The 23,205-nt window shown below is 41.4% G+C and overlaps 1 protein-coding gene and 1 pseudogene across 14 annotated transcripts in view, besides 1 other annotated feature; both read right to left on the reverse strand.

Moving 5' to 3' along the window:
* Positions 1 to 21,951, reverse strand: part of CDH17 (cadherin 17) — a 90,117-nt gene extending 68,166 nt beyond the window's left edge. For 11 of the 14 annotated variants that reach the window (NR_182224.1, NM_001413954.1, NM_001413961.1 and 8 more), the window contains exon 1: positions 13,156 to 13,228. The gene's annotated coding sequence lies outside the window, so the exon portion shown is untranslated. Of the gene's footprint in view, positions 1 to 1,902; positions 2,005 to 7,092; positions 7,399 to 13,155; positions 13,229 to 21,870 lie in introns of those variants that run through there. The other 3 variants (NM_001413953.1, NM_001413952.1, NM_001144663.2) reach the window with 3 other exon arrangements.
* Positions 6,556 to 7,745, reverse strand: RPL6P23 (ribosomal protein L6 pseudogene 23; annotated as a pseudogene).
* Positions 10,755 to 11,954: an enhancer, noted in NCBI's record as "CDK7 strongly-dependent group 2 enhancer chr8:95218310-95219509 (GRCh37/hg19 assembly coordinates)". NCBI's record gives its function as "activates an origin of replication core promoter dependent on BRD2, BRD4, P300/CBP, MED14 and CDK7 cofactors, with strong dependence on CDK7, by STARR-seq in HCT116 cells {active_cell/tissue: HCT116}" and the evidence as "EXISTENCE:reporter gene assay evidence [ECO:0000049][PMID:35650434]".
* Positions 21,952 to 23,205: the final 1,254 nt, after the last annotated feature.

A 23,205-nucleotide genomic window follows, 5' to 3' on the forward strand; every position in this document is an offset into this window, starting at 1 on the left:
GAGAAGATGTATTTTGGCAGATTCCAGGATAACTAAACATTTTGATTCAAAGCCACAAACATATGAGATTCCGCAAGTGAAAAGAACTAAAGAATGCTCACAATTCTTCATTCAAAGATGTCACCAGCTGCCTCTTTGATCTTCTAGATATTGTCATTACCTACACAATAAACCTAAGAAAAAATTAATTTCTTACTATTCCAAAAGAGATCAAACAAAAATCTGAACTCTGTCCTTATTGTCTCCTGTCCGATATTATTTTTCCCTTCCTCCTTAAGGCTTCCCATTTCACAGAGATTGTGACTTTCACTATGAGACATGTCATGACTAATTGATTTTAAGATGTGAGAGAAATTTTCCACATGGCCTGGAAAACAGTGTTGTTACCTGTCATAAGTTTGGACTGCCCCTCCCCAAAAGACAGTCAAGGAAATTTTTTTTTTTTTTTTTGGAGACAGAGTCCTGCTCTGTCGCCCAGGCTGGAGTGCAGTGGCACGATCTCAGCTTATTGCAAGCTCCGCCTCCCAGGTTTACACCATTCTCCTGCCTCAGCCTCCCAAGTAGCTGGGACTACAGGCGCCTGCCACCACGCCTGGCTAATTTTTTGTATTTTTAGTAGAGATGGGGTTTTGCCGTGTTAGCCACGATGGTCTCAATCTCCCGACCTCGTGATCTGCCTGCGTCGGCCTCCCAAAGTGCTGGGATTACAGGCGTGAGCCACCACACCTGGCTGAGTCAAGAAAATTTTTTCAATGTATTTATTTCACGAAAATTCCAATCACTTTATTATCTCTAGAGATTAGGAATAATCTTGGTTTACTTCATCATCTTATTCTTTAAAGTTTTTCTACATTGAACACATATCACTAATATCACCAGCATGGAAAAAATTTCACTAACATTTTAACCACTCTAAAAATTTAGATCCTGAAAATTTTACATGCCCTACATTTGCATAACTTATATTTGAACTTTAAAGGGTAAAAATGCTATTTCATTTTAGCCTCACCAATGTTCTGGGAGATAAAGAAACAATCCTTTATTAAGCATCACCCAGGATGTAGATTTGCAGAGAGGTCTTTAAAAACAGTAACAGGCGGGAAACAATGGTTCACATCCAGAAGCCCAGCACTTTGGGAGACCGAGGCAGGTGGGTTGCTTGAGCTCAGGAGTTTGAGACCACCCTGGCCAACATGGCGAGACCCCCATCTCTACTAAAAACACAAAAATTAGCCAGGTGGGTGACTCATTGCCTGTAATCCCAGCTACTTGTGATACAGGAGCTGGAAATAAATTATTTAGGCAGATAGTAAGGGTAAGAGAGTCCTCAGTAAGGTTTCCTTTTAACAAAAAGCAGCCCCAAAATCATTTCTAACAAAGAGCAGCCTGTAGAATCCAGCTGCAGACATAGATAAGCAAGCTGGAAGTTTCCACAGGTGAATGCCAGCAGCTCGGCCAATAGGAAAAGGCTATCTGGGGGCCGGGCATGTTCAACACGGCGGCTCCATCTTCCCTTTTCTTTGTAACCACGTGTACAGTAAGCAACAGACTATATGGTGCTAGCCAGGTAGAGAATCCATCTGCATAATAAAAGATTAGGCCAGCTTCTTCAAGCACTATGCAAACATCACACCTGGTCCAACCAATCTCTCCGGCCCTGTGTAAATCAGATACCGCCTCCTCAAGTTCATATATAAAACCCTGTGCCATTTCACCACAAAACCGGAAGACCCACTCGGGCACCCCCCTCTATCTGCAGGAGATAGAGCTAATCCGCTTTCTCTTTCTTTTGCCTATTAAACCTCTGCTCTTAAACTCACTTCTTGTTTGCCCAGGTTTTCTATTTCTCTACCCTGAGTTGATGACCTCGGGTATTTATCCCAGACAATGATGCCACTTCACCTGGGAGGCTGAGGTGGGAGGATCACTTGAGCCCAGGAGGCAGAGGTTGCAGCCAGCCATGATTGCGCCACTGCACTGCAGCCTGGGTGACAGAGCGAGACCCTGTCTCAAAAAATAAAAATAAATAATAAATTAAAATTAAAAATAAAAACAGTAACAGAGTGGTATGGCAGGTAGGCTTGGAGTCAGAAAGCTGGCCTAGCAACGCAGCACTGCTCTCTATAGCTATGTGGCTATGGATATACTACTTCATCTTTCGGTGCCTTAGTCTCCTCACATGGAAAACACATAGCCATTGCTCAATAATAAGTTTGTCCTCTTGGCCAGGCACGGTGGCTCAGGCCTGTAATCCCAGCACTTTGGGAGGCTGAGGCAGGCAGATCACAAGGTCAGCAGTTCGAGACAAGCCTGGTCAACATAGTGAAACCCCGTCTCTACTAAAAATACAAAAATTAGCCAGAAGTGGCAGTAGGTGCCTGTAGTCCCAGCTACTTGGGAGGCTGAGGCAGGAGAATTGCTTGAACCTGGAAGGCAGAGGTTGCAGTGAGTTGAGACTGGGCCATTGTACTCCAGCCTGGGTGATGGAACGAGACTCTGTCTAAAAAAAAAAAAAAAAAAAGAAAAAAAGAAAAAGTTTGTGCTCCTATGATTTTCTCAGATATAATGAGCTGGGAATTGTTCTTCTCATTTTGTAGGTGAGAAAATTGAGGTTAAAAGTCAAGCAATTTGCCTAAAGACATACAGCTAGGAAGTGACATTACCTTGCCTCCAACCAGATTATCAATTCCAGAGTTTAAACTCTGGAATTTCAACTCTTGCTACTGTGCTTTATATAGTTTGATAGCTACCTAGATGTAGATGTATGACATAGAGCATGGACAGAGATAGAGCTGTAGAGATATACAAATATCATGTATGTATGTATATATATTTATACATGCTATATAAATTAAGCAACTTGCCCTGAAATTCCACAACTATTTTAAGGAAAAGCTAGGATTAAAACCCTTCAGGACTCCAAGATTCATAAATTCCTTGCATGTTTAAAAATTAGCTTTTGCAACATAATTAATTTGGTTGACATATCTAAACATCATTTTAGAATTAACTCATAGTTAAACAAGACATTACTGCTTTAGAGTACTTATTTGGTTTGGAAACACATAGAAACAAGTAACAACCTCAGATTCTAGCATATTGCAAGATGATATTATCAATTATAAATGAATAAATTAAGTCTAACAAACTAGTTTTCTGTAATATTAGCAAAATGTACACGGTCAGCTATCAACCTGTATTTGCTTAATACAAGTAAAAATATAGGCAATAATGACACATTGGGAGATCTTTCTCCTTAAACTCCTCAGCATTCAAGATCTTTCAAATGCTGCTCCCAACTCTTCCAGCCTTATCTGCCACTCCCTTCCCACACCCAGTCACACCTCCACCCAGATGGACTTTGCACCCTGAGCTCTCTGGCAGCCAAGCTCTCACCCCTGCTGCTCTCCCTGCCTGGCACAAGGCCTGGCCCAGAGAAAATGGACAATGGATATTTGCTTAATGAGGTTGGATGGAGATGTTTCCTCATTTCTGCTTCTCACATCTTACCATCTAAGTTCAACTTAATTATTTAAATAGCAATGAACTACACCACTTCTAGTATGTCCCAGATACCGTGCCAAGAACTGGGGTACCAAAATAAGGGGTACAGGTTCTATCTTCATGGAGCTAGGACCTAAACCCTACTTCCTTCATGAAATCTTCCTTGATTTCCAGCCAGTCTCTTCCTCTCAGAGCCAGTTCTGATTGATATATATATATATATATATATATATATATATATATATATATATATTTTTTTTTTTTTATCATTTGTCTGTTAGCATTACTGCCACTATTAAATAAAATCCTTAAGGGCAGAGGCCTTATTTTTAACTTATCAGGTCTCTTCATACTATCCCTTGCATATATCAAGCCATCATCAGATGTTGGGTAAATTCTAAAACATTTATGATTACCTAACATGGATATCTTATTAATTTGTTCTCACCTGTAAGAGCTTTCAATAAACATGATATATTAAAGGAAACTCATTCAACATTCAAAGCTTTATTGTGTAATACATTTTTATTGTTGATGAAAAGAGTTGTTTCTCCTTTGAATACACTAACAGATTTCTGCTCAGTAAATAACCCAGAACTGGTCGAACTAGATCATCTCTTCTTGAACTAATTTTTTTTTTTTTAACACCTTCAGTCTTCCAGAAAAACACAAGTTAAATGATAGAAAAGCAAATAAAAATAAAAGGAATGCCTTATTTTGGTCAGATGCTCAGAGAGATCACTGTCTGGGATGTTTCAATGGAACCTAGGAAGTAGAAGGAGAAATGTACTTATCCTTTATTTTGTCATTTACATTTAGGCCTGCCCCTCACCGAGGGTTTCCAGTGGGAAGTAGAAGTCACTGCTTTCCATTGCCACACGTAGGGTGCCATGATTTATTTGAAGACAAATCTACCACACCATGCGGTTGTTAGGAGCATAGACCCAGGAGTTAGACTGGCTGGCTTGGGTCTTAACTCCTCCACCGGCTGACTCGTGGCCCTATCTACTCATCTATAAAGCAGGGATAATAATAATAATACCTACCTTCGAGAGTTAAGAGATTCAGCGAGTTAATATTTGGAATACTGTTGGCCAAAAATTCATTTTGCCACTCACGTTTGCTTAGTCAAAACTGTAAACATTGTCCAACAGGACATTTCTCTTCACAATTCCCAACTTTTGGTGGCCCACTAATGAAAATATTCTAAAAACAGCCTACACAGGAACATCCTCACAGCCAAATGAGGCAGCAAGGCAAAGCCTTTACCCGAATGATTCAAGGCAAACTACACTAGTGCTAGGATTATGTCAAAAGAGGACTTTGGTCTCTCAAACAGGTCCCACCTACACTTCCTCCTTCCATGGACACAATACCATTCAAGTGTGGGGTACCCTGGGTCGCAATGGTGCTGATGGGAAGCCATCCTTCATCACTGAAATTGCCCGAAACCACCAAGCCAGACACCTAGGTTTCCTCAAAAACACTACTTGGAAAAGAATTGAAATAGATTTCCAGAGGATTCTGTGGCATTTTATCTGAACTACCTGTAATAATTGGCCAACCGTCTGCGTGGAATTTTTGCCGTTTGTCAGGATTTCCCTCAGATACAAGGACTAAATTCAGACAGTTACTACAGCAATTATTTGAGAGACCAAGCACACCCTTTGCAACATAGATCAGAGGGTTATTATTATTATCTTTTGTTTTTTTTTTTTTTTTTTTTTTTTTTTTTTTACAAAAAAAGGAGTTTTGAAAAGAAGGCCTCGGTTCCCAAACTGTGGCTGCCCCTCACCCAATGGGCACCACCATGACCACCACTTGCTCAACAGTAGACCAGGGCACCTGCTTGCAGACGGGAACCAGGGCTGCTGGGCTTGCTCTGCAGGAACAGTGCCTCATTTTAATCTACCACACAACAGAAGACATGGGAATCCCGCCGCGGCCTGGATCTGCATCCAGCCCGGATAACGACAAAGGCAGCAAACATTGACTGAAAACAATTTGCTGCATGCACCGATAAGACTTGGTGGTGAAAAACTATCTTGCTGATTTCTCAGAACAACTCTATGGAGCAGATGCTATTATAATATACCTCTTAAAGATGAAATGAAAAATCAAACGATGAAGACCACAGAAATTAAGAGACTTGCCCAAGGTCACAATGCCAGGCTAATTTTCACTCCCTCTGAAACACAAATATCCTGATGATGAGACACCAAGTATCATTTAATCCACTACAGATCTTTCCAAAATGTTGAAAAGGTTTTTTCCCCCTACTTTGCAGCTGCTCTTTTTTTCAGATGCTGACATGACCTGCCCCGACCTGCCTGGAGGAAAAGGCTGCCTTGGTCTGGGAAGTTTTGTTTCTACTGCAAATGTATCTCTGTGTCTCACTATTTCTCCTCATTTCTGTGCTTCACCTTAGGAATCTTCCCTTTTTTAAATCAATCCAAATGCTATGGGTAGAATTGTGTCTCCCTCCCCCTCAAAAAGCATATGTTGGAGTCCTAACTTCCAAGCACCTCAGAATGTGACTTTATTTGGAGTCTTTACAGAGGTAACGAAGTTAAAATGAGGTTGTTAGAGTGGGCTCTAATCCACAATGACTGATGTCCTTCTAAGAAGAGATTTGGAGACAGGCTCATCCACAAAGAAAGAACACTGTGTGAATGTACAGACAGCCATCTACAAGCCAAGGAGAGAGGTGCACAGAAGATCCTTCCTTCACAGCTCTCAGGAGGAACCAACCCTACTGCCCTCTTGATTTTGGACTTCTGGTCACCAGAACTGAGATGGTAAATATCTGCTGTTTAAGCCTCCCGTTCTGTGGTATTTTGTTAAGGCAGCCCTAGCAAATGAAGACCCCATGGAACTTTTGTTTAGCCTGTGCTGCTGTCCCAGGACAGAGGTGGCCTCACAGGGGGCTCTGCTCAGTCATTAGACACCTAGGGACCCCCCGCATCCCAGCAGCCCACCCAAGGCTTCCTTGATTCTCCCACCAGGCTCCAAGCTCCCAAGGGGATTAACGGCATTCATTTATTTTTTTTTAGTTACATAATTAGGTTCTTCTTAAGAAATTTAGAACACCAATTTGTGAGGATAAATTCCATTCACCAGGGCACACACAGATTGCAGGTAGCCCTGGAGCTGAGGAATAGCTTTGAGTTTTGGTAAAATTTGCCAGTCCATGGTTTTCTGATCAGCCTTGCACTGCTTTGTAGTCTTACATTTCTCTTTTTCTGTCAAAGATCTCACCCTCCTACTGACTAGGCTTCCACAACTGCTTCTTAAAGTAGGCATTGGTAAGATGTTTTGGGTTTCTCACACTGCTGGTATCGATTTTTTTTTTTTTTTTGAGACAGTCTTGCTCTGATGCCCAGGCTGGAGTGCAATGACGCCATCTCAGCTCACTGCAACCTCCAGCTCCCAGGTTCAAGTGATTCTCATGCCTCAGCCTCTCAAGTAGCTGGGATTACAGGTGTGTGCCACCATACCCGGCTAATTTTTGTATTTTTAATGGAGACGGAGGTTTCGCCATGTTGGCCAGGTTGGTCTCGAACTCCTGGCCTCAAGTGATCCACCCACCTTGACCTCCCAGAGTGCTGGGATTATAGGTGTGAGCCACTGCACCCAGTCCTGATATCAATTTTTATGGAGGTGGTGATGACAAATTTCTGGTGTGTCCTTCACAGAGGAACTCCATGGAAGACCAGAGGTCCAGCCACAAGTAACAAGCTACTGCCCAGCTGCTCCAGGAAAACCACCCTCCTGCCTTGGTGGCACCAAGGGAGGATGAGCAGAATGGTCTCGAGGGCCGTGCTGGCTCCAAGTTTTCTCACATGCTGACTGCAGAGTTTCTTGCGATGGCTGGACAGCTTTTGAGGCACATCTCTGTTGGATAATATCAAGGCATTTTGTGAAGTTTAAATAGCCAGGCATCACCATTCTTGTCACCTCAACTGGGTTTGTAACGGTTGCGAGATTCTTTTCAATCTTGGGTTTAGCAGCTAAGTACCTCCTCTCGTACATGGCCTTTCTGGAATACATAGCAGATCAGGAATATCTGCCAATTCCTCCAATGAGGACAGGATTTTGGGCTTCCCCTTCTTGGGCTTTTTAGCTCTGAGGTTCCCCTTTTCACCTTGCCACTGGCAAAGCCTTGTTAGCTTCAGGTTTCTTCTCCTTAGTATCCGGCTTCTCAACTTTTTCACCCACCATCTTGCAAGATGGGAAGGTGATGTTTAGACGCTCTTGTCATTTACCCATTTATTTGAGTAAGGACAAGGAGTTTCTACGTCCCAGATCTCCAGATTTACAAGTCAACACATAAGCATTGATTTTTGTCCCCCGTGAAAAAAGCTAAGTGATAGACAAATCTTAGAGTCAGTCATCTCTTATTTATTTATTTTTTAAAAAGCATGAAGGGCTTTGAATTAAAATAATTCACCTAGCACTAAGGCTGAGCCATGAAGCTTCAAAGAACAAAGAAGTTGCAGAAGGAGAGAGCTACAGAATTTGTTTTCAAATATCCTAAGGTAGTGTGGGCAGGAAGGGATGTGACTGGAATTCATAACACCACCAGGACCAAACAGTGCCAAATATCCTGTGAGCCATTTATTTTTCCTCCTCACTGTATATTGCTAAGAGCGGCATAAATTATAAGGCAAGGCCAGATAGATATAAAGATCAGATGAAAATCTCGCCCAAACCATTTTTCATCGATTAATGTTCAGATCTGCCACGCCCATCTTTTTGGTCTGGCTCACAGATCTCTGGCACCAATTGCATCACTCAAGGTTTAGAGAACCGCAGAAGCATCTGACCAATTTGCACTTTTGACAAATTAAGGACCCAATTAAAGTGGCCATTAATAAGCTAGAAACAAGCAGACAGGTATAAATCTGGGCTTCTGCCTCACACTTCAAACAGATTACTCCACATGGGGAGGGAATGGGCAGCTGGATGATTTGTTTTTAGAGCAGAGAGGAAGACAGGGAAGAAGGAAGGAAAGGAGGGAGGGAGGGATGAACATACATACATAAACATAAGCCCAGCTTTCTGTCACTAAACTCTGTAATATAGATATGCCAATCTTTCAGTATATGAAAATCTGGATTTACACACATGCAAAATTAGAGGTGATGATTTGTTCTACCAATAGGTTCATGATAGGGAAGATGGGCTCACGGGAGGCTAAATGGTCCCCTGGAGAACTTAAAATGGTTTAGATTGATATAATCAATTATAATACACATTACTAGCATAATTATTCTTTTTTTAAAAAATGTTTGTCTCACTTTTTCTTTTTTTAAAAATTTTACTTTAAGTTCTGGGATACATGTGCAGAACATGCAGGTTTGTTATATAGGTATAGACGTGCCATGGTGGTTTGCTGCACCCATCAACCCGTCATTTAGGTTTTAGCCCCACATGCATTAGGGATTTGTCCTAATACTCTCCCTCCGCTTGCCTCCCACCCCAGGACAGGCCCCGATGTGTGATGTTCCCCTGTGTCATGTGTTCTCATTGTTAACTCCCCCTTATGAGTGAGAACATGCAGAGTTTGGTTTTCTGTTCCTGTGTTAGTTTGCTGAGAATGATGGTTCCCAGCTTCATCCATGTCCCTGAAAAGGACATGAAATCATTCTTTTTTATGGCTGCATAGTATTCCATGGTGTATATGTGCCACATTTTCTTAATCCAGTCTATCATTGATGGGCATTTTGGTTGGCTCCAAGTCTTTGCTATTGTAAATAGTGCTGCAATAAACACACGTGTACATGTGTCTTTATAGTAGAATGATTTATAATCCTTTGGGTATATACCCAGTAATGGGATTACTAGCATAATTATTCTTATTAAAGAAAAGAATAACAAGTTCCAAGAAATATTTGAGAGAGGTGTCATGTTGTTCCTGGTTGGCGTTTGTTCCCCCAGTGCTCCCCAAGACAGAGCAAGGGAAGGATCAGCTGGGGAGAAGAGGCCTCTCCTCCAAGTCTCCCAAAACATCCCAGCATTGAATGGAAGGGGGGCCAGAGCAGTCACAGGAAAGGGAGCCACTGACCTAGGGACAACAGTGACTGTCCCACCAGGGCACTTGCCTGATGTTGTAACCCATTTATACCTGAGGTTGCAATTTTTTGAATTTTTGCAATCAGACCTTGACGATGACCTTGTGCAGAAGGATATAAATAACTCCCACATGCTTAGTGTTCCAATAATGGAACACTAGGCATAAATGGGTTTTAAGCAGGTAGCCAGGAAGAATTTCAGCATTGACTTCCCTCACGTGTGCAGCTATATACCCGCAAAAACCCTAGAAGGTGGCAGGGGGAGACCCTTTCTCCCCCAGATCTAGCAGAACAATATCACAAGCATCTTCCCTGGACTAAAGAGGAGGACTGGAATCACTATTTCTCATAAAGGGTGGCTTGACTTTTTTTTGACAAAGTGTTTCTTTATGTATTACACAACATTTCTTTATGTAATATAAAGTTTACGGATGAGCATTTTGTCAAGATAATAAAGCAACACATCCTGGCCTTAGAAATTCAGTAGGAAGTAAATCTAAATTAGGTTCCATCCCATAGGATTTAGACACTGAAGGATCGAAAGAAAGAAAGAAAAGAGAAGAGAAGAGAAAGAAAAATACTCTAATACCAGTTCATTTGCAAAGTGACCCAAGGCAGGAATTTTAATGCCAAGAATGTGCAGTCATGCTTAAGTATGGCAGGTTCACTTTCCAATTTCTGTAATTAAATCGTAACTGACAACTGGGATGGGTAGGAGAGGAAGGGAAAATAAATTTAATTCTGCTTAATAAAAGGTGCCAGACCACGATGAAATCTCATTCATGAATTGTTTTTTTTTTTAATCATTGGAATTGTTTTAAAAAATAGCAAATGCTCAACAAATGCAAGCTAAGTTAAACACTTTGGACAACTTACTTGAACAACACAATCATATAATGTGGGTCCTGTTGTTATCCCACAGAGCAGGAAACTGATGCTTAGAGCGCTTGAGGAAGTGGTGTGAATGCAGGGGCCAAGCACCAAGCCACTCTGCTAGATGGCCTCTTGGTGAGGAAGAGAACTCATCTTTAGCTTAGATGTTAAGGGAACAAATCTACCATTTCCATTCTCCTCATCCGTCACTTAAGAACAAGTCCTAATATTTTTAAGTAATAAGTATATGGTCAAAAATGAATAACTCAGAAATATCATGAATGAGAGAATTCCATGTCAGTCTTACAGAATATTTGAAGAGAAATTTTCTTTGTACCACATACACAAAAATCAAGCATAGCTTAGCTTGTTACGTATTGCTTAAGTGAAAAAAAAAAATCAACTTTAGTGTAGTTAATACCTCAGCCACTAGGGGAATATCTGCTTTTATTAAGTTAATATTTCTTGTACCTAAGTAAACATTCCTTCTTCTTCCTGTCTGTTCTTACAAGTAACAAATAAGTAGATAGGTATTCCCTTAAAATTCCGTGTGTCTTTCTTTGGATAATCAACGAGCAGTTACAGAACAACTAGCCCCATTCTAAATCTGATACCAGAGATTTCTGAATCAATGCAATTTTATGTCAAATCTATACATCTCTACCCATGTGAACCAGCTTCTGTTCAAGCACTGTTTGTCGGCCTCCAGAGCAAGGAGCATGACAATGCCCAGCTTTCCTCCTCAGAGCTGTTGCTGTTAATGTGGAAGAAAAATGAGGGACACATCCTTCTAGACATTTTTTTTGACAATGGAACGAGAAGTAGAGTTTCTGCCAGGATATATTTTGCACATCATCCAGATTTTTTTTTTTTTTTTTTTTGAGACAGGTTCTCACTCTGTCACCCAGGCTGGAATGCAGTGGCACAATCATGACTCACTGCAGCCTCAACCTCCTGGGCTTAAGGAATCCTCTCACCTCAGCCTCCCAAGTCGCTAGGACTATAGGTAAGTGCCATCATGCCTGGCTAATTTTTAATTTTCTTGTACAGTCTGGATCTCCCTATGTTCAGACCTTCCAGGCTGGTCTTGAACTCCAGCACAAGCGGTTCTCCCTCCTCAGCTTCTCAAAGTACTGGAATTACAGGAATGACCCACCACACCCAGCCATATTTTGCCTTTTGTATGAGAAAGGAGGAGGTACCGGAAATGTAACCTTCACCTTGAACAGTGATGACTTTTTTCAGGGGTCATCTGGGTGAGTTTCAAAGGATGCCCCACCTGCACCTCACCCAAAGACTTATATGGGAACCATGAGAGGGGCTTTAAAATGCTATATATATAGCAAAACCAATAGTTTTATTATTCTCATATTTTTGAATCCTACTTCCTGAACATAGAATTAGTTCCTCTCTTGCATAATGGTAGATGCTATTTTTATGGCATCACTGATTTTTTTCTTATTTTTCTAAAGAATGAAACAAAAATTTCTCAATTCATCCTGAGTCACCTACTTGAACTTTCTCATGGAACAGAGCGCTAACATTCACTGGATGTGTACCATGCACCAAGCAACATAGTAAGCTCTTTACCTACTTATCTAATTTACTTCTCACAACTACCTAGTTAGGCAAGTCTCTAGTGGCAGCTCTCTGTTCTGTGCCCACAGGTTGGAAAATGATGAAACTGGCCTAACCCATTTGGCCAACCCTGAAGACTCATATGGCCCCGTAACTCACTAGAAACCCTCTCTCAGTAAAGGACTCGCTTTGTTTCCTGGTGAGAGCTGAATAGCATTCATCTTCCTTTCATCTAAACATGTGTTTTTTCTTCTTCTTTCAAATAATGCCTCATTTGCTATTTAAGCTTTTGAAGAAAAATAAAGACAAGAAAATATTAGAGAAGGCACTGTCCTTCCAATCTGCTGCTTGGCATCCCCTACCACAGAGGGCATCTGTCCCTATAAAGTCACCTGTCATAAAAGACCAAGACAGAGGCAAATATCGGACCATTGAAGATACCAATAAGCTGTGTGTGGCTTAACATAAAAATAACCACACATTAGCAGGTGGTAACTCCACCACCAAGGCCAAAAGCAGCCCAGGAAGCTGATTAACACGCACATCAGCCTCTTCTCTCACTTGTGAAGGCAGGTCTGTCTGTCTTCAATTCTTATTCTAGTACTTTTACAAAAAGACTTTTCTTCTTCTCTGCATGTTCCCTCCCTTGCTGTGTCCTAGACAATTCTAAGAATCCCAAATTGAATCTCATTCTCTGAGAAGTAGATAGAATGACATGCTTTTTGAGAATGTGATTCCAACCCCAATTTCTAGAATACAAGAGCCCTAGAGCATCTTAAGACCAGGGACTTTTATATACTCATCACAAAGAATGGATGTGATACTTGTTTAAACATCAGAGAACTCAATTTCCCCTTTAATTCCACTGCCAAGCTTGATTTCACTGCAGCCACTTCATCAAATGAATTTATAAAATATGGACCAATGAAAAGAAACTACAAAAAAAAATTGTGCTCCATAAGCAAAACTTGTCATGCCAGCAACAAATTTCCCTTCTCCGCATCTGCATAGCCCACCTCAAGGAACAAATTTGTCAAGCAACTTTTTAAGTGCCCTCCCCCTCCATCTACTTTGTCCTTCTGGAATAAATACGTTACTGACACAGTTAAGACATGTCAGCCCTTACCTTTCTGTAAGTCACAAAATGGTGGTTAAAAGTCCTTTTCTTCCATTCAGTGGTCGAGACTCTTGCTACGACTGGAGTATCTCCCCCGGGAACACTCCCTCTTCCCTGCTTTGCCTCCCAGCCTCTCCCTTCAGCTTCAGTCAAACATTAACCATTAACATTTTTTATTGCTCTTCGAGAGCCACTGGGTATCATAAAAAGTGTCATTACTTTTACTCCAGGAAAGAAATGACTTTGTATCAAAAGAAGTTTAACTTACATCTAATCCATCTCAAAACAGGTTGCTACATTTTTCAATGTAGATGAGTCAATGAAAAGACAAGAAGTTAGAGTGGAAAAGTTTTTGTGTATCCAACTATCTCTAGAGTGTGAGGTTCATGACATCAAAGACTTTCCATATTTTGTACCCCCAACACTTAGCACAGGAGACTTGATCAGCAAATATTTATGTAGATTCCATCTCAAACACAAAAGACGGAGCAGGGGCGCCATGTCTGAGCAATGACACAGTTCATTGATAACCAGCCACATGAGATATCATAAATGACTCAGAAGACATGAGGAAAGACACAATATGGCTGTGCCTGCTTTTGAAATCCAAGGGTCCCTTCCAAAGTCTGCAAGAAACAACCGATAGCAAATTTCCCCCAAACACAAACCAAGTCCTTTTTTCCCCCCCACAATTCAGGGAATGGATTTACCTAGGAACAACTTATTTTTCCCCAATCAAAATGAGGTTTTTGATTAACCAATAAAAGCCAATGCCCCCAGATTTCTCAAGTCAAGGCTTCTTTTAGACCAATTCCTGATTTCCACACTTTGGTCACTCTGGGAATCCACACTGAAGGTGAGCATCAATGTCATGTCTGTGTCTGGTGTGTTACACTTGGCCCTGTTTCTGTGGACCTTCTCATGTTCATTTCTTGGCTTCTCCTGAGCTGAGGTTGTGTTTTCCATTCCTCTCCAGGTGTGCATCTGACAGAGGGAAAGCAAGAGAGCCCAGCCCACTCTCTAGAAGGGCTCCCTCCTTTCCAGATTTCATGAGAAGGTTTCATGAGTGCTCTAAGCCACTGTGGGAATAGACCTCATTTATCCTGAGGACCCTGCAAGTGAAACCATCTAGTTGCATGCCAGCTGTTAACATCCTTGGTGGACTGGTGGGTTCAGCAAAGGCCCTTCTTGCTTTGTCCCACAGCCAGCATCACTCATTTAGAAGAATGAGGTTATTGAGGCTAAGCACTTCTCACATTCTTCACACCTCTGCCCTCCCATTAGCTGAATAAAGTGTGCTTGTTCTACAAAATCAAATCGCTTCCACTTGCCACATGTTTCAGTTCCTGGAATCAAGGGCAAGCATCTCATCACACAGCATTGTTCATAAAGAAGTTTGGGTCTTCTTTGAAAATTTTAAAATAATAAAGTGCTTTTAAATTTATGAGTTTTTTTTTTTCAAAAATAAAGTGCATATGTATCATTTATAGTCATTGTTTTTCAGCAACAATAACAATGATCGTGACATGTTGGTATATCAATTAAAATTCTGTTTTCTCATTTAGCATGTCTGCAAAGTAGATTCCAGTTTATAGACAGAAAATGGGGACACAGAGAGGTTTTATTTCTTGTCTAAGTCACACAGCCTTTGACTACAGAATCGGGACTGCAACCCTGTTCTGATTCAAATCCCATCCTATTCACTACAGCTATAGACTCTGCCAGATTTTTTTCCTTCCAGCTTTATGCGAGTAAAAAAAAAAAAAAAAAAAAAAAAAAAAGTCCAAGGGCAGAAATCCCTGCATGAGCCCATTCCTGTTGGAAGATGGCCAAGTTCCGAAATGGGGTTCCTCTGTACATCACTTGCTATCTCTAGCCCCCAGCTTCCAGCTCAAAGAATTAGGTTAATTAAACACTGAAAATGCCTAAACCACCCATCAGAGAAATTAACAGGTGATTATTGCATTTCTGAATTACAGAAGCTATTTCTGTACTGTGGGATACCAGGTTAACAAGATTCTGAGAGCTGTTCATATATTCCTTACATGGTTTAGACATCCTTCCAGATTAAATCCAAATGTTAAGAATGTGCACGTTTCAGGTAGCCACCACTGCATTTTAGGAACTCATTTTCATGAAAAGTGAGACATTGCTGGTTCAATAGACTTGCTAATAATAGGAATAAGGAAAATGTAATTGATAAATATTACTGATTTAATTTTCCAAAGCAAAGGAGGTATGATTTATAGGATGAAAACAACTGAAGGCCAGGCGCAGTGGCTCACACCTGTAATCCCAGCACTTTGGGAGGCTGAGGCAGGCAGATTACCTGAGGTCAGGAGTTTGAGACCAGCCTGTCCAACATGGTGAAACCTCATCTCTACTAAAAATGCAAAAATTAGCCAGGTGTGGTGGCAGGTGCCTGTAATCCCAGCTACTCAGGAGGCTGACTCAGGAGAATCATTTGAACCTGGGAGGTGGAGGTTGCATTGAGCCGAGATTGCACCACTGCACTCCAGCCTAGCCGACAGAGCAAGACTGCATCTCAAAAAAAAAAAAAAAAAAGAAAACAAAACTGAACAAGTGAAAGGACTTGGGCTAATGCTTTCAACTCACAGCTTCATGGTGGTGAAAACATTTCAACGCTTTTGTCTATAATGTTTTAAGCATTCCTCCAATATTATCCCTAGAAAATACAAATGTCCATAAATAAGTAATTAATTTATGGACATTTGTAAGAAAGTCTAGATAGCCTCCCAGACAAAAAAGTTATGAAAACTTGGAATTATTCCTAAAAGTCAAAGCATGTTACATTTCTAATATTTATATTCTTTTTTATTTTATTTTATTTATTTTTTGAGATGGAGTCTTGATGTCCCCAAGGCTGGAGTGCAATGGCACAATCTCAGCTCACTGCAACCTCCGCCTCCCAGTTTCAAGTGATTCTCCTGCCTCAGCCTCCCATGTAGCTGGGATTACAGGTGCCCACCACCACACCCGGCTAATTTTTTATATTTTTAGTAGAGACGGGGTTTAACCATGTTGGCCAGTCTGGTCTTGAGCTCCTGACCTCAGGTGATCTGCCTGCCTTGGCCTCCCAAAGTGCTGGGATTACAGGCATGAGCCACTGCTCCTGGCCTATTTTTATTCTTTAAAACTCAAAATGAAATCTATGAGTGGTAAATTTCTCAATTTTTCAAGTACTTGCATTTTATGTTCTTTATGTGTTACATACTACACATTCAGAATATTTTATCATGAGTCCATCAACACACAACCCTCACCTAACAGAAGTGTAAAATAATATTTTAATTACTTAATATCTGTCTTGCTCTGTTAACTTGATGATGGCAGAAACTTTGTCTTCAATTAGTACTCAATAAGTACTTCTTAGGACTCAACTCCATTCAGTTATTTAATTCAATAATTCTAAATAGTCATGATTACCTGCAGGCTCAACCAAGGCCAATAGGAACCCAGAAAAGCAAATAATTTTGAACCCCCTGAAACCTAGAGTTCACAGTTTTTGTTCCACATTTATTTAGTGGAATGAAGTGAAACTAATTTTCTGCTAGTCATTGTTTTAGGCTGAAGCAGAATCTTTCTTAACTACTTTTGCTGGCCAGGACAGAGTCCATTTTCTGATAAATTTAAGCAAAACAGGTCTTACTTCCATGTAGCTCTTACTTTTTTGGAGACAGGGTCTCGCTCTGTCACAGGCTGACAGGCTGGAGTGCAGTGGTGCGATCTCGGCTCACCGCAGCCTTGGCCCTTCAGGCTCAAGCCATCCTCCCACCTAAGCCTCCCAAGTAGCTGGGACTACAGGCACACACCACCATATCCCATTTTTTTTGTAGAGATGGGGTTTCATCCATCCAGGCTGGACTCCAACTCCTGGGGTCTAAGATCTGCCCACCTCAGCCTCTTAAAATGCTGGGAATACAAGTGTAAGGCACTGCGCCTGGCCTATACTTACTTCTGAGTTTGGGTTTGGGGTTTTTGTTTGGAGGCTTCTCTGTTGTTGAGTTTTTTTTTTTTGGCAGTTTTCCAAACCAGAACACTTGAGAGAATTATCACAAGATTTAAAACTTAGATAACAAAATGAATCACTAGTTCTAAGTAAGAAACACTGAATCATACATAATGCTGTTTAAAAATCTTAGCTGACAGCCACCTTGCGATATTCTGAAAAATATTTAAGGAAGATAGTTTGAGGTTAGTAAAGATTTTCTTCCCCACTATCTACTCTGACAGAAGTGGACCCACTTTGTACTTTGTTTATTCCAGGAAGATTTTTAACTTCATCTATAGATGCTGGCTCCAAGCAACTGCCCAGCAGGCGGGGCCCTCAATCTGGCTCCAGCTACGCATGCCATGAAGTGGCTGGAGAATCTCATGAATGGGATGGCTAGTAAGTATTCACATCATCAGTTGTACATTGGACAAATGCCTTCCAGGTCTTTCCAAACTGAAGTTCACTAAAACTGGGGCTTACACTATGAAATCCTGGTTCAGGGTATGTCCCTGGGTCCCTTGCTCTGTTGCCCAAGCTAGACTGCAGCATGTAATCATGGCTCACTGCAGCCTCGACTTCCTGGGCGTAAGTAATCCTCCTGCCTCAGCCTCCAAAGTAGCTAGGACTACAGGCAAGTGCCACCACACCAGCTAATTTTAAAATTTTTTGTAGAGATAGGTTCTATGTTGCTCAGGCTGCTCTTGAACTCCTGAGCTCAAGTGATTCTCCTGCCTCGGTCTCCCAAAGTGCTGGTATTACAGATGTGAGCCACCATGCCTGGCTGGCACTCTGGATTTCTGATGCAGGTGATTACATAGGCCCTTCTGAGAAACACTAGCTTAAGGAATCATTGCTTTATCCTCCAGTAAATATTCTTCAGCAAAGCCTATTCTGAATTGAGATTAATTACCCCACCATGTAGAACCCATTTCTGCAGGAATGTCTGAGATAATGATGCAGTCGGTCTGATGTTGAACATGCAAGCTGGATCTGGTAGACATGAGCATGCTCATCTTCCCTCAGACATTTTTTTCTCAGACAGCTAAGCTTTTTATTTGATCTTGGATTTTCTTTAAATTCCAAGAAATGACCATCATTCTTATTGGTTTTCTGAGACCTATCTCTGTCTCTTATCAGATTTCACCTAACAAGCTTTTGCTCCCATCCAGCTCATGCTCAGATCACAGTGTCTGGCTTCCATCTTCACTGCTCCACTGAAACCACCCTCACCGAGGTTGCCAACAACCTCCTCATGATAATCAGATGGACGCTTTTCAGTCTGCACCTCACCTGACCTCTCACAACTTTCAACACCATGGCGAGCTCTCCTCAAATTTCCCTTTACCCCGGCTTCCTTGCCAATACTCTGATTTTCCTTCCACCTCTTGAGCTAGTCCCTTGCAGTCCTACTTGTGACTCATCCAACTCCTTGGGCCCAATCCCAGGTTATCCTGTCCTGTCACTCACTCTGTGGAGGTCAACTCTGCTCCCATCTACTTGCCAACATCTCGAGTCTCTCTCTAGACCAGATCTCTCCTCTGGTCAAAGCTCTGGTTTTCTATATCCAACTGACTATTCCACAACTTCGCCAAGGTGTCCCATGTGCACAACAAACTCCACACAGCCATAGTGAACTGTACTGTTTTAATTCTCCAAAACATACGCCTCCTAGAACACTACCCCTTCATGTTAGCCCTGGTGGTCATCACCACTTAGCCAGACAGTGTGCAGTGACTGCCTAGGAAGTACTGTCATGGGGTCAAGTAGGAGACCAGCATGCATGTGAGCTTTGCTTGGAAGGACTCAGACTTGGACACTAAGGCTTATTAAATGGTCCCCCTTCTGTGCCTGTGGGTCTCTCATTAGACACCAAAACAGGATTGCCTCTGGAAATTCTGCCCTTAAGAGAAGTATTTCCTGGGAAAGAATACTCTTTTTAGTAAATTGTGAAATTGATCTTCACATGCAAAACAATGAAACTGGACCCTGACCTCACACCATTCAGAAAAATTAAAATATATCAAAGACATAAATTATAAGGGCTGAAACTATAAAATTCTAAGAAGAAAGCAGGGGTAAATCTTTATGGCCTTGGATTAGGAAATGATGTCTTAGCTATGACACCAAAAGCACAAATAACAATAGAAAAAAAAACAAATTGGACTGGACTTAATCAAAATTAAGAACTTTTGTGATTCAAAAAACACCGTTAAGAAAGTGAAAGACAATTCATAGAAGGAAAGAAAATATTTGTAAGTCGCGTATCTGACAAATGAACTGTATCTAGAAGATATAAACAACTCTTACAGCAACCCAATCAAAAAATAAAGGATCTGAATAGAAATTTTTTAAAAGATATACAAATAGCTAAAAAGCACATGAAAAGATGCTCATCCTTAGGCATAAGCAAAATGCAAATCAAAACCACAATAAGATGGCATTTCATACCCACCAGGGTGTTTCATACCCACCAGGACAGCTATAATAAAAAAGAGATAATACCCAGTGTTGAAGATGATGTGGAGAAATTAGAATCCTCATATGCTTCTGGTGGGAATGTAAAATAACACAACCACTTTGGTAAACAGTCTGGGAGTTTTAACAAAAACTTAAATATAGAGTTACCATTTGACTTAGCAATTTCACTCCTAGGTATATAGCCAAGAGAAATAAAAACATCACACAAAAACTTGTACACAAATATTCATAGCAGCATTATTCATAATAGCCAAGAGATAGAAACAACCCAAATATTCATCAACTGATGGATAAAATGTGGTATCCATATGATAGAATATTTGTCTATCCATATAATAGAATATTCATATAAAAAGATATGAAATACTGATACTACAAGACTAAACCTTGAAAACATTATGCTTAGTGAAAAAAGTCAGACAAAAAAAGCCTAATATTATATAATCCACTCACATGAAATGTCTGGAATAGGCAAGTCCATAGACAGAGAAAGAAGATTTCGGAGTTGCCTGCAGTTGGGGGGCAGAGGGGGAATTTAGAGCTGAGAGCTAAAAGACATGGGGCTGCTTTTGAAAGTGATGAACATTTTCTAAGTTTTATTGTGGTGGTGGTTGCACAACTCTGAGAATACACTAAAAACTACTGAATTGTGCACTTTAAGTTGGTAAGCTGTATGATATGTCAATTATATCTCAATAAAGCTGTTCTTAAAAAAAGTATTCCCTGCAACTAATGCATATTCACTGCAAAATAATGAAATTGAACTGACATAAATATACAAAACATAGGCTAAACATTTTCAGTTACCTCGGTCTAGGCCCTTCAGATCATTTTGTTCTATTATCGGAAATGTCTTACGGTTTCCAAAATCATTTATTTTCCTTTAAGTATACGAGGTTTTTTTTTTTTTTTTAACTAATTTTACCTATTATTTGACCTCTTTTGTTTTTTGTGTTTTTAAAATGTGAATAAGAACATTTCAGTACACAAAGATTATCTTTGCCCTGGATAAAGTAGAAAATGACAATGTGGGCATAATGGCCCCTCAGCCCCTCTGATAGTGTCTCAGCCCAGGCAGTTCAGCCCTAGATAAACTTGACTCAACTGCCTGCCTGAACGAAGACTATTTTCTTTCTACATGACTAAACCTAGTAACTCAGGAGACAAGGAGGCCAAATTCTCCTCCCTTTAGTTTTCCCACTCAGGATTACATTGGGCCTGGTCTCAGGAACAATCCAGGAGTTTCTGGAAAAGCCATGTTATCTTCAAACTAGAATTTTCCAATAGCTACAGGAGGAAACACAGGAAATGAAAGCTCACATCTGCAATCTGTGTAATTCCCTTGCCTTGGGTGGTCCACAGGAGCAGCCCACAGTGCAGTGGAGGAGGAGGGGAGAACAGAAGCCCTGCTTGGGAGAGACCATCTGGCTCTATCAATGAGCCTCAGCCAGCGTCAGATCCCTTCTAAGGAGGCCTGGGAGGAGGCCGGCGGAGGACCCTCACTTCCTTGCTGGAGTCTCACTTAGCCCACATGCTCCTGCTTTAAACCTGATTAGATAGACCAGCTTCTCAAAAAGGGAGGGCTCCAGAGGGTTTGTTTTTTTTTTTTTTTTAATTCTCAGATCTTCCCAAGTCTGCTCTCCTAAGTATGAGAAACAAAGGGAATTGCCTAGAACCAGGACTATATCTAAAGGGATTTACAGGACAGAGGTAGCTGTACTTCTTCTAAGTTACCACTTTATACTAAAGAAAATCAATGGTAGTTAACTACACAATACTTGACTAGAAGTTATCCAAACTCCACTCCTCTTCTTTATCTCTAAAGAGAGGTTTTTCTCAGTACAAATAAGTTTTTAGTACAGGGGTTCTCAACGCTGGCCGCATAGAGCCACTGGGATTGTGATTTGACTGGTCTTTGGTGAAGCCTGGCAGCAGTCATTCTTAAAGTTTCCCTTGGTTCCAACGTGCAGCCGAGGTTGAGAACTGCTGGCTTGGTGTCTACCCTCTACCAAGCAATTTTGCTCTGCATCTCAATCTTCACAGCAACACGGGAAGGTATTTTTACTACTTTACAAATAAATAAATACAGGAGCAAAGAAGATACAAATCGATTCTCTCAGATTTGAATCCGGATCTGATTCAAAAAATAATAAGAATAAAGCCTGAGCTGCTACCCTCGGCAAAGCTCCCGTAGCAGCCGCTGAGTGAGCCTCCTGCCCAGCTCTACTTACCTCCCAGGAGCCCCAATCAGACAAGCGGGGGTGGGGGGACTCAAGTCCACTAAGCAGATTGATCAACTCAGATCCACAGCCAAAATATCATACTTCCACCGTGATTACATGCTCACCAGTCGCCCCTCCCACTCGATCTTTCTGAGCTTTATATGGTTGGGAATCCTGCCTTCGCTGAAAAGCCTGCTTAGGTAGCATTTTCATGAACCAGTAATACCCACCACTTTATCCCCTATAGCGTTTCCCGCCACAGCTCCGCTCCAGCTGATATCCCTTTATATTTCCTCCCCATTTCCCTTGTTACAGAGCAATAGCACCACCTGACCCCCGTTACAGAGCAATAGCACCACCTGACCCCCTCAAATGCAGCTGCTCTCTTTCAGCTGTCCAGGAGGCAGGCATCCTCTCCCACAGCTACTGAGGAAGTGGTTAACTTCAGTGTAGCTCGGCTCAACTCAGACAAGCCAGGGGTAGCCAACCGGTACTATTCAGAGTTGTGCATAATGCCAGGAGTACCTTGCCCCCAGCAATAACTGAATTATCTCGATTCAGTGGACTTTCTAAAATGTACCCTCCCTCAATATTGAAAATCCTCTTCAGGACCAGGGTAGAAAGTGGCTCCCAATACAGCAATGCTGACCTGCTGATCTTTGTTCTGGAATTTAACATGGTCTGTAAGGACCTTGGACTTTTTGAAATCATTTTTTTTATATCGCTGGAATACAGGTTCCTTTTCTTTTCTGGTCACAAAGCAAAGAAGTATAGAAAGAATTACCAAAAGTAAAAGTAAAAAAATAAAAAATAAAAAAAAGAATTACCAGGGACCCAGTCCCATGGGACTCAGTGTCAATGGCATATTTCCTGAGCTTGACATGGGCAATGAGAACTTATTTCTCCCAATCTTGATTCAGCTCCCTAATAATTAGGCTGGTATTCTTTAAGGCATATTGGTTTTAAGGTAGACACACCTGACAGCAATAACTTAAGCATAATCTGAGCATGCTCCTGCAGGGCAGATGCACCTCAATGTGTGTTCTGAGCTCGGGAATCCGGGAGTGGTCAACGCGGAGATTGGTTCCTTGTCTATGAGGAACATCTGAGCATCTCCCACCGCACCTTCCACCCTCCGCCCCCATCCCATGGAACATGGGCCATACTGGGGATGGAGGTCCTTTGTTTTGGGTTTAATGAAGGTTGCCAGATGGAGGTTGTTAGGGGAGGGTGTTAAGTGAAAATGTTGTATAAACTGATGCTTTTTGCAAGTAGTTGCACTTCTCCTGTATAGCCCACTGCTGCTGGACCCTGTCCCCCTGCATGTGAACCCGCAGTAAAATC

Source organism: Homo sapiens, chromosome 8 (genome assembly GCF_000001405.40).
Source record: "Homo sapiens chromosome 8, GRCh38.p14 Primary Assembly".
In the NCBI taxonomy this organism is placed as follows: domain Eukaryota; kingdom Metazoa; phylum Chordata; class Mammalia; order Primates; family Hominidae; genus Homo; species Homo sapiens.